Genomic DNA, 14,534 nt, shown 5'->3' with positions numbered 1-14,534 from the left:
CGTGAGCCACCGCGCCCGGCCAACATACACAAATCAATAAACGTAATCCATCACATAAAAGAACCAATGACAAAAAACACATGATTATCTCAATAAATGCAGAAAAGGCCTTCAACAAAATTCAACACCCCTTCACAACTCCCAGTAAACGAGGTATTGATGGAACGTATCTCAAAATAATCGAGCTATTTATGATAAACTGAATGAGCAATATCATACTGAATGACCAAAAACTGGAAGCATTCCCTTTGAAAACCAGCACAAGACAAGGATGCCCTCTCTCACCACTCCTATTCAACATAGGGTTGGAAGTTCTGGCCAGGGCAATCAGGCAGGAGAAAGAAATAAAGGGTATTCAGTTTGGAAAAGAGGAAGTCAAATTGTCTCTGTTTGCAGATGACATGATTGTATATTTAGAAAACCCCATCATCTCAGCCCCAAATCTCCCAAAGCTGATAAGCAACTTCAGCAAAGTTTCAGGAAAGAAAAGTCAATGTGCAAAAATACAGGCATTCCTGTACACCAGTAATAGAGAGCCAAATCATGAATGAACTCCCCATTCACAACGGCTACAAAGAGAATTTAATACCTAGGAATACAACTTACAAGGGATGTGAAGGACCTCTTCAAGTAGAACTACAAAACCAGTGCTTAACGGAATAAGAGAGGACACAAACAAATGGAAAAACATTCGATGCTCATGGATAGGAAGAATCAACATTGAGAAAATGGCCATACTGCCCAAATTAATTTATAGCTTCAGTGCTATCCCCATCAAGCTACCACTGACTTTCTTCACAGAATTAGAAAAAACTACTTGTAAATTTTATACGGAACCAAAAAATAGCCCACATAGCCAAGGCAATCCTAAGCAAAAAGAACAAAGCTGGAAACATCACACTACCTGACTTTGAACTATACTACAAGGCTACAGTAACCAAAACAGCATGGTACTGGTACCAAAACAGATACATAGATGAATGAAACCGAACAGAAGCCTCAGAAATAACGCCTCACATCTACAACCATCTGATCTTGACACACCTGACAAAAACAAGCAATAAGGGAAGTATGCCCTATTTAATAAATGGTGTTGGGAAAACTGGCTAGCCATATGCAGAAAACTGAAACTGGACCCCTTTTTTACACCTTATACAAAATTAACTCATATGGATTAAAGACTTAAACGTAAGACCAAAAACCATAAAAACCCTGGAAGAAAACCTAGGCAATACCATTCAGGACATAGGCATGGGCAAAGACTTTATGACTAAAACACCAAAAGCAATGTCAACAAAAGTCAAAATTGACAAATGGGATCTAATTAAACTAAAGAGTTTTCTCCACAGCAAAATCAATAGGCATCCTACAGAATGGGAGAAAAATTTTTGCAATCTATCCATCTGACAAAGGGCTAATATCTGGAATCTACAAGGAACTTTACAAATTTACAAGAAAAAAAAACTTCAAAAAGTGGGCTAAGGATATAAACAGAGACTTTTCAAAAGATATGTGGCCAACAGACATGAAAAAAAGCTTATCATCACTGATCATTAGAGAAATGCAAATCAAAACCACAGTGAGATACCATCTCACACCGCGTAGAATGGTGATCATTAAAAAGTCAGGAAACAACCGATGCTCACAAGTAGGTGGAGAAATAGAAACGTTTTTATACTGTTGGCGGGAGTGTAAATTAGTTCAGCCATTGTGGAAAACAGTGTGGTGGTTCCTCAAGGATCTAGAATGATAAATACTATTTGACCCAACAATTCCATTACTGGGTACATACCCAAAGGATTATAAATTATTCTATTGTAAAAACACATGCACATATATTTATTGCAGCACTGTTCACAATAACAAAGACTTGGAACCAACCCACATGCCCATCAATAATAGTCTGGATAAAGAAAACGTGGCACATACACACCATGAAATACTGTGCAGCCAAAAAAAAGGATTAGTTCATGCCCTTTACAGTTACATGAATGAAGCTGGGAACCATCATTCTCAGCAAACTAACACAAGAACAGAAAACCAAACACTGCGTGTTCTCACTCCTAAGTGGGAGTTGAACATTGAGATCACATGGACACGGAGGGGAACATCACACACCAGGGCCTGTCGGGAGTGGGGGGTTAGGGGAGGAATAGCATTAGGATAAATACCTAATGTAGGTGACCGGTTGATGTGTGCAGCCAACCACCATGGCATGTGTGTACCTATGTAACCAGCCAGCTTCTATTTTTTTCCCACTTTTCTTCAGAGCAGATTATTGTAAAATATATAACTTTAACAAAGTGATTTTGTCTAAATCCTGTGGCCTTTTAGGCGTCTCAGTATTCCTGGTGTGTTATGCCTTAACAGAAGGCCACAATATGCCTATTCATTTCCCTTCCTTTATATTTTTTAAATTGAATTTGTAATTGTTATAGGGTAAATCTATTCAAATTGAGCAAAAGGAAGAAATGTCAACACTACATTTTTGTGACTCTTTATAAGCCATTCAGTTCTCTTCAGATGAAATCTGTTTCAAGGATTAGCCAAAGCAGACAGTTTATGTTAAAACAAGTCTTGAAATTTATCTTGAATCTTTTAAATATTCTTTCCCTTAATACTATTACTTTCTATGTATTCTTCCATGCCCTTTAATTGAATCAGATTCTCATTTATGTGGTCTCCTTAAAAGCCTCTACCTCTCAAAATTGTTGTTGTTCTTTATTCATTTCCTACTGCTGCCTTCTGAATTGGTAAGCAATAAAAATTTCTTTGAAGGAGAATACATCAGAACATGGAGCAATCACAATTGAGTTATTCAATATTGTTAATATAACAGCAGTCAGCTTTTAAGATTTCACTTTTGGGTCTTATAATTCTCCACCATCATTCCAGAGAGTCTCCTTCTGGAATGGCTGTTGTAATATATAATGACAATATTATTATTTTATATTAGTAATATTCAGCTATTTGTTTCTGTAGTGTCTATAGAAATACTATTCATTCTTAGTGTTTACTTCTAGCAACAAAGCGCTATTCCTTTGTAGTGTTTTGCCTCGTTTTTATATGAAATTTCAAAACTGAGTATAAAGTAATACAATAAAAACTGTGATGTAATTGTCAAAATAATGAGAATTACTGGAAATGAAAGTTCATCTGTTGAGAAACAAATAGAACCAAACTGATTGCACAGAATAAGCTTCATTATGGTCACGTATGGTGGCTCACGCCTGTAATCCCAGCATTTTGGGAGACCAAGGCAAGCAGATCACCTGAGGTCAGGAGTTTGAGACCAGCCTGGCCAACATTGTGCAACCCCGTTTTTACTAAAAATACAGAAATTCACTGGGCATGGTGGCGGGCACCTGTAATCGCAACTACTTGGGAGCCTGAGGCAGGAGTGTTGCTTGAGCCCAGGAGGCAGAGGTTGCATGAGCCAAGATCACGCCATTTCGCTCCAGCCTGGGTAACAAGAGCGAAACTCCATCTCAAAAAAAAAAAAAAAAAAAACTCCATCTAAAAAAAGAAAAAACTAACCCTCATTATTTGGGGGAACGTAATGTTGTTTTAGCCCCAAGGATTTTATCTTCATGACAATGGCACAGGGTGGTGGGGTGAGTAGGTACAAAAATTGACAGATGGTGAGCAGAAGAGAGTATGGAAGACATAGTAAGAGGAAGCCTGAAATTACTTAGTTTGGAAATCCCTAATCCCTAATTAAATAGCCTTGTAACATCATGCAAACTTTACCTTTTTGACTCCCACATTTCCCACTTAGTAAAATGGGTATGGATGCTTCTTGCACTGAGCTGTTACGAGAATTGTGTGGCATATCTAATGTAAAGTACCAATTCCATGTCTTGTGTATGGTACTAAGCCTTCATGATTGCTGCCTCTTTGTGGCAGTTTATTTTCTCATTTGGAAACACGGTTGAATTTGCAAAAACACAAATTCATAAAATTTGAGGCATTATTTTCTTGTGAAATATGACATGTTTTGAAGCACTATTTTGAAAACATATGCAGTAATATCCCTATACCCAGAAGTGAAATCATGTAGAAGAGGGATGGCAGGAAGACATCAGTAGGTGCCACAGATCCAGTGTGGTTTATATTCTTACTTTTTGACAGGAACTGAATTTTTTACTTGTCTCCCCTGGCACATCTTTCATACACACAAAAACTCACAATAAGACTTTCCTGGTGAAATTCAAATATAGACAGAAATATGGCATTGTTTCTAAGTAGGCATAATTGCTAAAGGCAAACTGAAAATTATGTATTTTATATGATACTTAAGGAATTTGTCGTGCCACATTAGGCTTATATTGCTGTACTTATGTTTTAAAATAAGTTAGCATATTTTGTATGTAATATCCCTAATGATTTTGCCCCAGGGTTACTTATAGGAGGAATTCTGATTTAAAAAGTAAGGAAAAGAAACATAACAAGTAATAGTTTAACCTGGCAAGTAACAAATGGCAAGAAAATATAAATGAAGGAAATTAAAACTGCCATTAATGTATATTGTAAAATTTTACGTAAATTTAAATTTATATAAAACTTAATGTATATTGTAAAATTTAACTGTTGTTATTTAGTCCCACAACAGTTTACAAAACTAAAACAGATAAAGCCTCATGCTCATGATGCTTACACTCATGGGAAAGAAAGATAATAAACAGATGTGGAAAATAATTTTACATACTGATAATATGATCATTTTCCCCCCAAATATTTGGTATGTAATCCATATACTGATAATTTCAAGTCCGTATCTGTAGTGTAACAGAGCAACAAGCTCCAAATTAGCTCAGACTCTCCTGATTCCAGGAGGTTATATGTTTACAAAAGGTGTTAATGGCATTTTTATTAAACCCATATCATGCTTTCTAAGATAAGTTTAGAGTTGAAATGTGCCTTAGAGTATCACCTATACCACCTCTGCTTTGAAAAACTTAGATTCACAGAAACTTTAGCAGGCAGTTTTGAGCAGTGACAGCAAATTACAGGAAAATCAGCAGTATTTGTAATTGTTTGCAATATATTGTTATCCTCACAAGTATGTGTAGGAAAGGTATAAATTATAAGAAAAGTCAGTGTGAATAATAATGAAGGATTCTACTATACCATTTTCAAATTAAAATTCAGCAAGTAATACTTTTTTTTCTTTGTTATTATATTGGAACTAACTTTGTATCTTGTAGTGACCATATTCATAGATAATTATCTGCTGTGGTGCCAAAGTTTTAAAATCTATTATATAACTGCTTGTGAGGGTATAGGCAACCTTCTTGCCTTTCTATAATCATAAAAATTCCAACCTGTAATTCTGAACTTTTATTTCAAAGATGAAGAAGTTGACTCTTACAAAAGTTATTTTACTTGTCCAAATTAGAGCCCAAATAAATAATATATCTTTAATTAGGGATGAGTTTATTGTAGATTATGATCATTGCATTTTTATAGTCAAATGTCAGTTATTCTCAACTTTAAATATTTTAATATTGTCATCGTCCAGCATGCACATTTGAAAATTTGAGGAAAAGAAAAATTACCATGTGAATAGACTTTAGAACCCAGATTCACAAAGTTATTTCTAATTGGTATACCTTTTATGTAAAATATTCAGTAGTTACTCTCACAAATAGTTTTTTCCCACAATAGGTATTGTCTTTTGAAAATTCTGAAGCAATATCAGACATTGAGAGAAGCTCTTGTTGCAGCAGGAAAAGAGGTTATATGGCATGGGCGGACAAATGATGAACCAGCTCATTACTGTAGCATTTGTGAGGTGAGTAACTGTTTCTACTGATAGTTGTTTTGTTTTGGATTCTCTAGGTTTTGAATTGTTGTTGCTTTATTTTAAATTTACCTATACTTTTATGTAATGCTTTTGATTGAAATTGACTATTAAAACTATTAGGCTAAGTTCTCATCTGATACAATATTTCACTAACTAGATCTATTAAAAGTATCTCCTAAATAAAGGAGATCTACTAAATAAAGAATTTATTTAGTAAATCCTTATCCAAATGATAATCATCTCACTTTAAACTAGGAAGAGTCTATAGCAAGTACACAGATGCCTACAAACAGGATTTAATTCAATATTCAGGCAGATCAGGATGAAGTCCTTTCTGGTTCATTTCATAAATCATTATTGACTTTTCTCTTCTGACTAAGGCTTACAAGATGTGCAGAATAAGCATGTGTTGCTTGCCCTGGAGAAGTTTACATTCTGCTTGCAGAGGCAAACTATAAACAACACATTGTAATGCACATCTAACTGATGAATATGAGGTTAAATATAAATACAAACTACTACAGAAACACTGAGGAAAATTATTTTTCTGCTGTTTTTCTCCTTGCAAGCACACAAACTTAACATTTGAGTTCTTGAAGAATATTCTGATTGCAGCAGACAAAAATAGCAATAATTGGAGATTTATAGAACATCATTAGGCTTTATGAACATTGGATGGGAAAAGGAGTAGTGTATTCAGTAAAGGGTAATTAATTATTTCAATGTGGCTGGAAAGTAGATGGCAAATTCTTAAAGTCCATCAGGGTAGGCTGTGTCTGTAGTTTGCAAATCATCTTGATTCATTTTAAGGAATATGATATATATCCTGACATAAACGAAAACTTTTAAGTTTCTGAGCAGAGGACTATGTTATGTGTTTCAGAAAAAACGGTGGTTGATTGCCGAGTCTAGCTCGGCTGGGGAGACCCTGACCCAGCTTACATAGAGGAATTAAAGACACACAGACAGAAATACAGAGATGTGAAGTGGGAAATCAGGGGCCTCACAGCCTTCAGAGCTGAAAGCCTCGAACAGAGATTTACCCACGTATTTATTAACAGCAAGCCAGTCATTAGCATTGTTTCTATGGATATTAACTTAACTAAAAGTATCTCTTATGGGAAACGAAGGGATGGGCCGAATTAAAGGAATAGGTTGGGCTAGTTAACTGCAGCAGGAGCATGTCCTTAAGGCACAGATCACTAATGCTATTGTTTGTGGCTTAAGAATGCCTTTAAGCGGTTTTCCACCCTGGGTGGGCCAGGCGTTCCTTGCCCTCATTCCCGTAAATCCACAGTCTTCCAGCGTGGGTGTTGTGGCCATCATGAACATGTCACAATGCTGCAGAGATTCTGCTTCTGGCCAGTTTTGGGGCCAGTTTATGACCAGGTTTAGGGGGCCTGCTCCCAACATGTCCCCCTCCTTTGATTTGCAAATCAATAAAAGCAAGGGCAGCTTTGTCACAGTGAGCTATTTCTCGCAGGAGTCAGGATCCACATCTGCAGACTAGACAAAGACAAACAACACAGATTAAAAGCATAATCATCATTGAAGTCACAAAGCTTCCCAGTGTTTTGATCCATTTTAATGGGTTACCAGCTGCTAATCTGTCTGCAGCTTTTAAGCACTCCAGTTCCTGGCATTAAGGTCAGGTGTGCCTGGGATGTTTTAAATATTCGTTCTTTAATTTTGCAATATCCAAAGACAAGTTTGTAGAGTGTCTTTCTAGATGCTTTTTTATTCTTTCCCAAATTTTGATCTTATTAAGAGCTATTAATAGTTTCTACAAATCCTTATGTTTAGCTCCTACAATGAGCCATATCATTTGAGGTTGAGGTGCCACTATACTGCCATAGTTCCAGATAATAGGAACTTTTGGTGTACTTCTTATCATCACTACCATCTGACCGTTTTGTTCAGACCAGCTGAACATAGTGTGGCCATGGCACACAGACTGAGAGGTGCAATTCAAGCTAAACATCCCCTCAGTGGATCAATCAATGATGATTCCATAGGAATTGTTGTGCAGCACCTCTGCCTGTTCTGCAGTGCAATCTTCCCAAACAAGTATGTTCATTATTTCTGGCAAGATCCAATTGTGTTTACAAATAAGTTTTTGGGGGCAGTATGCCTCAATTATAGGAGCACATTTATTATGGTAAATACTGAGATCAGAAAGCGTGTGTAACTGTGTCATAGAGTGATTGCATCCAGGCATTATTGCCAGCCAAGATTGATAAATATGCCCAGTAAGTATAATTGTTCTCTGTGTCAGCCATTATTGAAGGAATACTCACAGCAGTGATGATAACCACTATCATAGCTACCATTAAATTACTCATTGTGACTGGTTGTCCTGCTTTCCCCAGGTTTTCTTCTGCCGTCTATGACAGCTTCTTGGTCTGTCCCCAGGGGGTTGGCTGTGTTCGACGGGTGTTGCTCATGACAGTTGGGGTCCTCCTCAGTGTCAGTCTCAACATGGCTGTAACCGGGGGATCCTCAGGATCCTCCCGGAGTCTCTTCCTCGGCATCTGGCTCATGATAAGGTTTCAGGTGTCTTGATGGTGTCAGAATTGGCTGTAATTTTGGCCTGGAGAAACACAAGCATAACCTCTACCCCAAGTTATTATTTTACCTATTTCCCAACTTTTTGTAATCAGATCTCTTCACCAAATCAGTTGTTCTGCTTCTGTCTTTACAGCTGGTTTCTGTAGATGCTGTTCAGCTGCTGATAACATCTGGCCTTTGGGCAGGCTCAAAAAATTTAAAGTTAATAATGCTAGATTCAGTTGCATCTGTGGGGTTCCATATTCTCTGTCTCCCTCAGTCTGCTTTTGCAACTGCTGTTTTAGGGAGAGATTCATTCTTTCCACTATGGCTTGTCCTTGAGAATTGTATGGGATACCAGTAATGCGTTTAATATTCCACATAGAGAAAAATGTAGCTAGAGCTTGGCTAGTATAACCTGGGGCATTATTGTTGTAGTAGAAGCTGGAATGCCCATCACCGCAAAACACTGCAAAAGATGACGTTTAACACAGGCAGAAGACTCTCCTGATTGGCATGTAGCCCAGACAAAGTGAGAAAAGGTGTCCATGCATACATGTACGTAAGCTAGCTTCCCAAACGAGGGAACATGTGACATCCATTTGCGAAAGAGAGTTAGGTTCCAATCCTCAAGGATTAACTCCTCCTGTAAAAGATGAAGAATGTACCATTTGGCAAGTTGGGCATCGCTGGATAATAGCTTTAGCTTCTTTCCAGGTAATGCTGTATCTGTGTTTGAGACTAGAGGCATTAACATGGGTTAAATTGTGAAAGTGTCTAGCATTAGATATTGCATTAGCAACTAGGTGATCAGCCATTTGATTCCCTTCAAAGGTCCTGGAAGAGGCGTATGAGCCCTAATGTGAGTGATGTAAAAAGGGTGCATTCTACTTCTAACTGCTGTTTGCAGTTGAGAAAATAAAGTCATCAGTTGTTCATCTGTATGAAGTCGTAACTGAGCATTTTCAGTTAACTGTGTGGAATGAACCACGTATGTAGAATCAGAAATCATACTAACAGGCATATCAAAAGCAGTCAATACCTCAATTACCGCTACCAGCTCCACTTTTTGAGCTGCAGTATAGGGCGTCTGGAAAACTTTACCTTTTAATCCAAAATAAGAAGCTTTACCGTTACTAGACCCATCTGTGAAAACATTCTCAGCACCTTCAATTGGTTTAAATTTAGTTATTTTAGGGAGAATCCAATTAGTTAATTTCAAAAACTGAAACAGCTTTGTTTTAGGAAAATTATTGACATTTTCCTAAATGGAAAGAAAAAGTGGAAGAAAAAGCCACTCTACTAAGTCCTGTTCTTGGACAATAACACCAGTAGGTGAATGCCGAGTTGAAAACATTTGTAAATATAGAGTCTTCTCTGGATCTATTCTATTTATTTGAGCTTTATTGACTTGCTTCTCAGTCACTTGTAACTCTGTCTCAGCCTCCTTTGTTAATTGCTGAGGGCTAGTGAGACTAGGATTTCATCTAAGGATAGAAAACAGATTACTCATAGCATAGGTAGCAATGCCTAGAGCAGGTTGTATCCAATTAATGTCCTCTAGTAATTTTTGAAAGTAATTTAATGTTTTAAATTGATCCCTACATATGGTTACTTTCTGTGGCACAATGGTAGTGTCATTTACTAAGGTCCCCAAGTAGGAGTAGGGAGTAGTCTGAATTTTGTCAGGAGCTATTAATTAAGCCAGCATGAGAAATCACATTTTGCAAGTGATCATAACATTGGAGTAATATTTCTCGAGTGGGGGCAGCACAAAGGATATCATCCATATAGTGCATAATATAACACTGAAAATTTTTTACGAGTAGGTTCAATTGCTTGCCCTACATACTTCTGGCAAATTGTTGGACTGTTTAACATGCCTTGTGACAACACTTTCCAGTGATAACGCTTAGGCTGCAGGTTGTTTACCGCAGAAATTGTAAATGCAAACCATTCAGTCTTGCTCAGCTAAAGGGGTAGTAAAGAAACAGTCTTTTAAATCTGTGACTATTAAATGCCAATTTTTTGGAATTATAGCAGGAGAAGGCAATCCTGGCTGTAATGCTCTCAGGTTGTATAACTGAATTGATGGCTCTTAAGTCAGCATTCTCCATTTACCTGATCTTTTTTTAATTAGGAAAACTGGAGAATTCGAAGGGGAAAATGTTGGAGCTATGTGCCTGTTTTCTAATTGTTCAGTAACTAATTTCTCTAAAGCCTCCAGTTTCTCTTTACTTAGCAGCCATTGTTCTATCTAAATTGGCTTATCTGTTAACCATTTTAAACGTATAGGTTCTAGAGGCTTAACAATGGCCACTATCAAAAATTATTTCCTAATCTTTGGCAAGAATTTTGTCTTTCCACTTGAAGTGGTTCTTTCAAACCTTGCAAATTTTCTTCTAGTCCCATACCAGGGACATAACCCATTTTATGCATTGTATGTTGACTTTGAGGGCTATATAATTGTTCTGAAATTAGAACTTGTGCTCCCCATTGTTGTAATAAATCTCTTCCCCATAAATATATAGGTACAGAAGTTATAATTGGTTGAATAGCCCCAGGTTGTCCATCGGGCCCTTCACAATGCAAAATATAACTACTTTGATATACTACAGGGACTTTACCAAGTCCAACTATGTTAAATTGAGCGGTTTGAACTGGGCACGTGGATGGCCAGTGCTGTATAGAAATGATTGAAATGTCCGCTCCTGTATCTACCAAACCTTTAAATTCTCTTCCCTGAATAGTTACTTTACAGGTAGGACGTTTATCAGTAATTTGATTCACCAAATAAGCTGCTTTGCCTTGTTTATTTGTGCTTCCAAATCCTCCTGTTCATTTAATTTCACTTTTTCCCATTCCCACATATGGCACAATCAGGAGCTGTGCTATACGCTCTCCTGGCTCTGCTTTCCAGGGAACAGAAGTAGGTATAACAATTTGAATTTCCCCTTAGTAATCTGAATCAATGACTAATGTATTTGTACCCCTTTTAAACCTAAACTAGACCTTCCTAAAAGGAATCCTATTATCCCCACTGGCAAGGGTCCACAGACTCCTATTGACCTTTTGAGGGGGTTCCCGAGGCAGAAAGCTCACAGCTTTTGTGCAGCATAAATCTACTGCAGTACTACCAGCTGTGGCGGGGGACAGACGTTATATGGGGGTAAGGGAATGGCCTGAGCTGGAAATGCCCCAGTTTAGAACAGGGCTTGGGATGGGCCTCTCATGGCGTTTCCCGAAATCAGGTTCCCTTCTTTATCAAACTTAGAGTGACAATGATTAGCCCAATGTTTTCCTTTTTTACATTTTGGACATATTTCAGGATCAGCAGTTATCTTTTTTCCCGTCTGGCAGCCTGACTCGCTGATTTTTTTCTACATTGTTTTTTAGTGTGACCGTGCTTCCCACAGTTAAAACAAGCTCCAGGAAATGGAGTATTTCCTTTATCCACTCTCAGTCCTGCCATTGCCTGTGCCAACAAAGTAGCTTTATGCAGATTACCTCTGATACTGTCACAGGCCTTGATATCATCAACTAAATGTGCTTTCCCTCTGATAGGTCTCAGAGCAGCCTGGCAGTTGGGATTAGCATTGTCGAAAGCTGATTACTGCAACACTATATACTGAGCAGCCAAATCTGCAATCATCTTTTTAAGAGACTCCTGTAACCAAGCTATAAAATCCACATATGGTTCTCTTGGTCCCTGTTTTATAGCACTAAAGGCAGGGTATTGTTTCCCACCTGAAGTGATTTTTTCCCAAGCTCTAATGCACACTCCTCTAAGCTGTTCTGTGGCATCATCCCGCATGACCAGTTGTGCATCTAAACCAGCCCAGCCACCAACCCCCAAAAGCTGGTCTGCAGTTACATTAATTTGAGGTTGGGCCGGGGCATTGTGAGCAGCCTGAATGGAAGCTTCATCTGCCCACCAAGTTTTAAATTGTAAGAACTAAGCAGGAGTAAGACAAGCTCGAGTAAGGAGTTAGACAAGTAAGTAGTTTTCATCCTACTGAAAACAGCAACATTCTTTAAAAACAGCAACATTCTTCAGTAGTCCCATTACAAAAGGAGAACCTGGTCCATACTGATTTATAGCTTGTTTAAATTCTTTGAGTAATTTAAAAGGAAAAGGCTCAAATGTAGCTATAATATTTCCCTGTTGATCTAGGGGGTGCATTCTAACAGGGAACTGCCAAGCCTCTATATCACCCTCTCATCTAGCTTGCTGAATTCCCGCCTGAATAGAACTAAGAGCGGTTGCTCAAGGCGCTGCCCAAACAGTCACTGGGGCAACTACTTTTCACCCAGTGTCCTCTGGAAAAGAAAGATCTGGAGGGTCTTTTTCTTCAAGATAATAGGGGGTGCAGAAGGGTAGGGATGAACCTCACCTTCCTTGGCCGCTTTAGCTTTAGCTGGTACATAAACATGCTCTGTAACCTCTTCTGTTATTTCACTATACTCTCCCTCCTCATGATCAGTGTGAAAAAGTTCCAAGGTGGAATGAACCACACCCCACACTTGTCTCGTTGTTACCCTGATACTTCCAAGCTCCCCTTCATACTCACCACGGGGATTGCTTTAAGAGTACTCGGGTGTCCTCCAGCTAGTTTTCCATTGCGACCATCACTCCATCGTCCCTTCAACCTGGATTCGAGCCCCCACGAATGGGCACCACTTGCCGAGACCAGCTTGGTTGGGGAGGCCCTAACCCAGCTTATATAGAGGGATTAAAGACACACACAGAAATATAGAGGTGTGAAGTGGGAAATCAGGGGTCTCACAGCCTCCACAGCTGAGAGCCCGAACAGAGATTTACCCACATATTTATTAACAGCAAGCCAGTCATTAGCATTGTTTGTATAGATATAAAATTAACTAAAAGTATCCCTTATGGGAAATCAAGGGATGGGCTGAATTAAAGGAATAGGTTGGGCTAGTTAACTGCAGCAGGAGCATGTTCTTAAGGCACAGATCGCTAATGCTATTGTTTGTGACTTAAGAATGGCTTTAAGTGGTTTTCCACCCTGGGCCGGCCAGGTGTTCCTTGCCCTCATTCCTGTAAACCCACAGTCGTCCAGCATGGGCGTAATGGCCATCATGAACATGTCACAGTGCTGCAGAGATTCTGTTTATGGCCAGTTTTGGGGCCAGTTTATGGCCAGATTTTGGGGATCCTGCTCCCAACAGCTGATAATTGGATAGAGTGGAGATAGAAAGCAAACAAGTCAGTGTGGACGCTATTAGAATGGTCTTAGGAGGTATTAATGAAAGTCCTAGACTAGAACATAACCTTAAGAATGTAAAAAAAAGGGAGATGTTCAAAAGTGTTTATTAAGTTGTAAAATTACCAGCACAGTTGATCCAATCTGGGAATTATGACAAGTAGAAGAATCCTAAATTTGCTGCCTAGCTTGCTAGAGCACTGTTACTCCTGTTGATAGTAATAGAGAGCTTCATGAACTCAGGAATTTTAACAGCTGTTTAAAGTGACTTAAGATAATGAGGATTTGGCTTTTTTTTTTTTTTTTTTTTTGAGACGGAGTCTCGCTCTGTCGCCCAGGCTGGAGTGCAGTGGCGGGATCTCGGCTCACTGCAAGCTCCGCCTCCCGGGTTCACGCCATCCTCCTGCCTCAGCCTCCCAAGTAGCTGGGACTACAGGCGCCCGCCACTACGCCCGGCTAATTTTTTGTATTTTTAGTAGAGACGGGGTTTCACCGTTTTAGCCGGGATGGTCTCGATCTCCTGACCTCGTGATCCGCCCGCCTCGGCCTCCCAAAGTGCTGGGATTACAGGCGTGAGCCACCGCGCCCGGCCAATTTGGCTTTTTTAACTGAAGAAATCAAGCAGAAGTCTGAAGATGCTTGACTAAGAAATTGAAAGACATGTTTTCTCTTGTTAGATTAATGTTCATGAATACACTTTTGTTTGTACTTTTTTTAATATGAGGCTTAAAACACTTTTTGTTATTCACCTATCAGTTTCATTATCTTGAAAAATATCACATTACATGCATATTCCAAGTTTTTTTAATTGTAGTTTTAGCTTCAGTGAAAATTAACCACAATAATGTGCCCTAGACATCAAAAATGAATGACTGTGGACTCAGTCATTTGGGGAACGCAGTCCTTCAGACACAGAACAACTATGAGTACTCTCACAGAAAAGTGAAAAGCAA

At 38.7% G+C, this 14,534-nt stretch overlaps 1 protein-coding gene across 105 annotated transcripts in view; it reads left to right on the top strand.

Annotated features, from left to right (window-relative positions):
• UTY (ubiquitously transcribed tetratricopeptide repeat containing, Y-linked) overlaps nucleotides 1-14,534 on the top strand; it is a 246,776-nt gene that overhangs the window by 214,599 nt on the left and 17,643 nt on the right. For all 105 annotated transcript variants that reach the window (NR_174404.1, NR_047613.1, NR_047627.1 and 102 more), the window contains one exon: nucleotides 5,668-5,794. Coding sequence is in view for 50 of the 105 variants with exons in the window: in XM_011531448.4 (XP_011529750.1) it covers nucleotides 5,668-5,794 (127 nt within the window). In the remaining 55 variants the exon portion in view is untranslated. Of the gene's footprint in view, nucleotides 1-5,667; nucleotides 5,795-14,534 lie in introns of those variants that run through there.

This window comes from Homo sapiens, chromosome Y, assembly GCF_000001405.40.
Source record: "Homo sapiens chromosome Y, GRCh38.p14 Primary Assembly".
In the NCBI taxonomy this organism is placed as follows: domain Eukaryota; kingdom Metazoa; phylum Chordata; class Mammalia; order Primates; family Hominidae; genus Homo; species Homo sapiens.
Note: the sequence above shows the minus strand (reverse complement) of the source record. Positions and strands in the feature narration are given on the sequence as shown.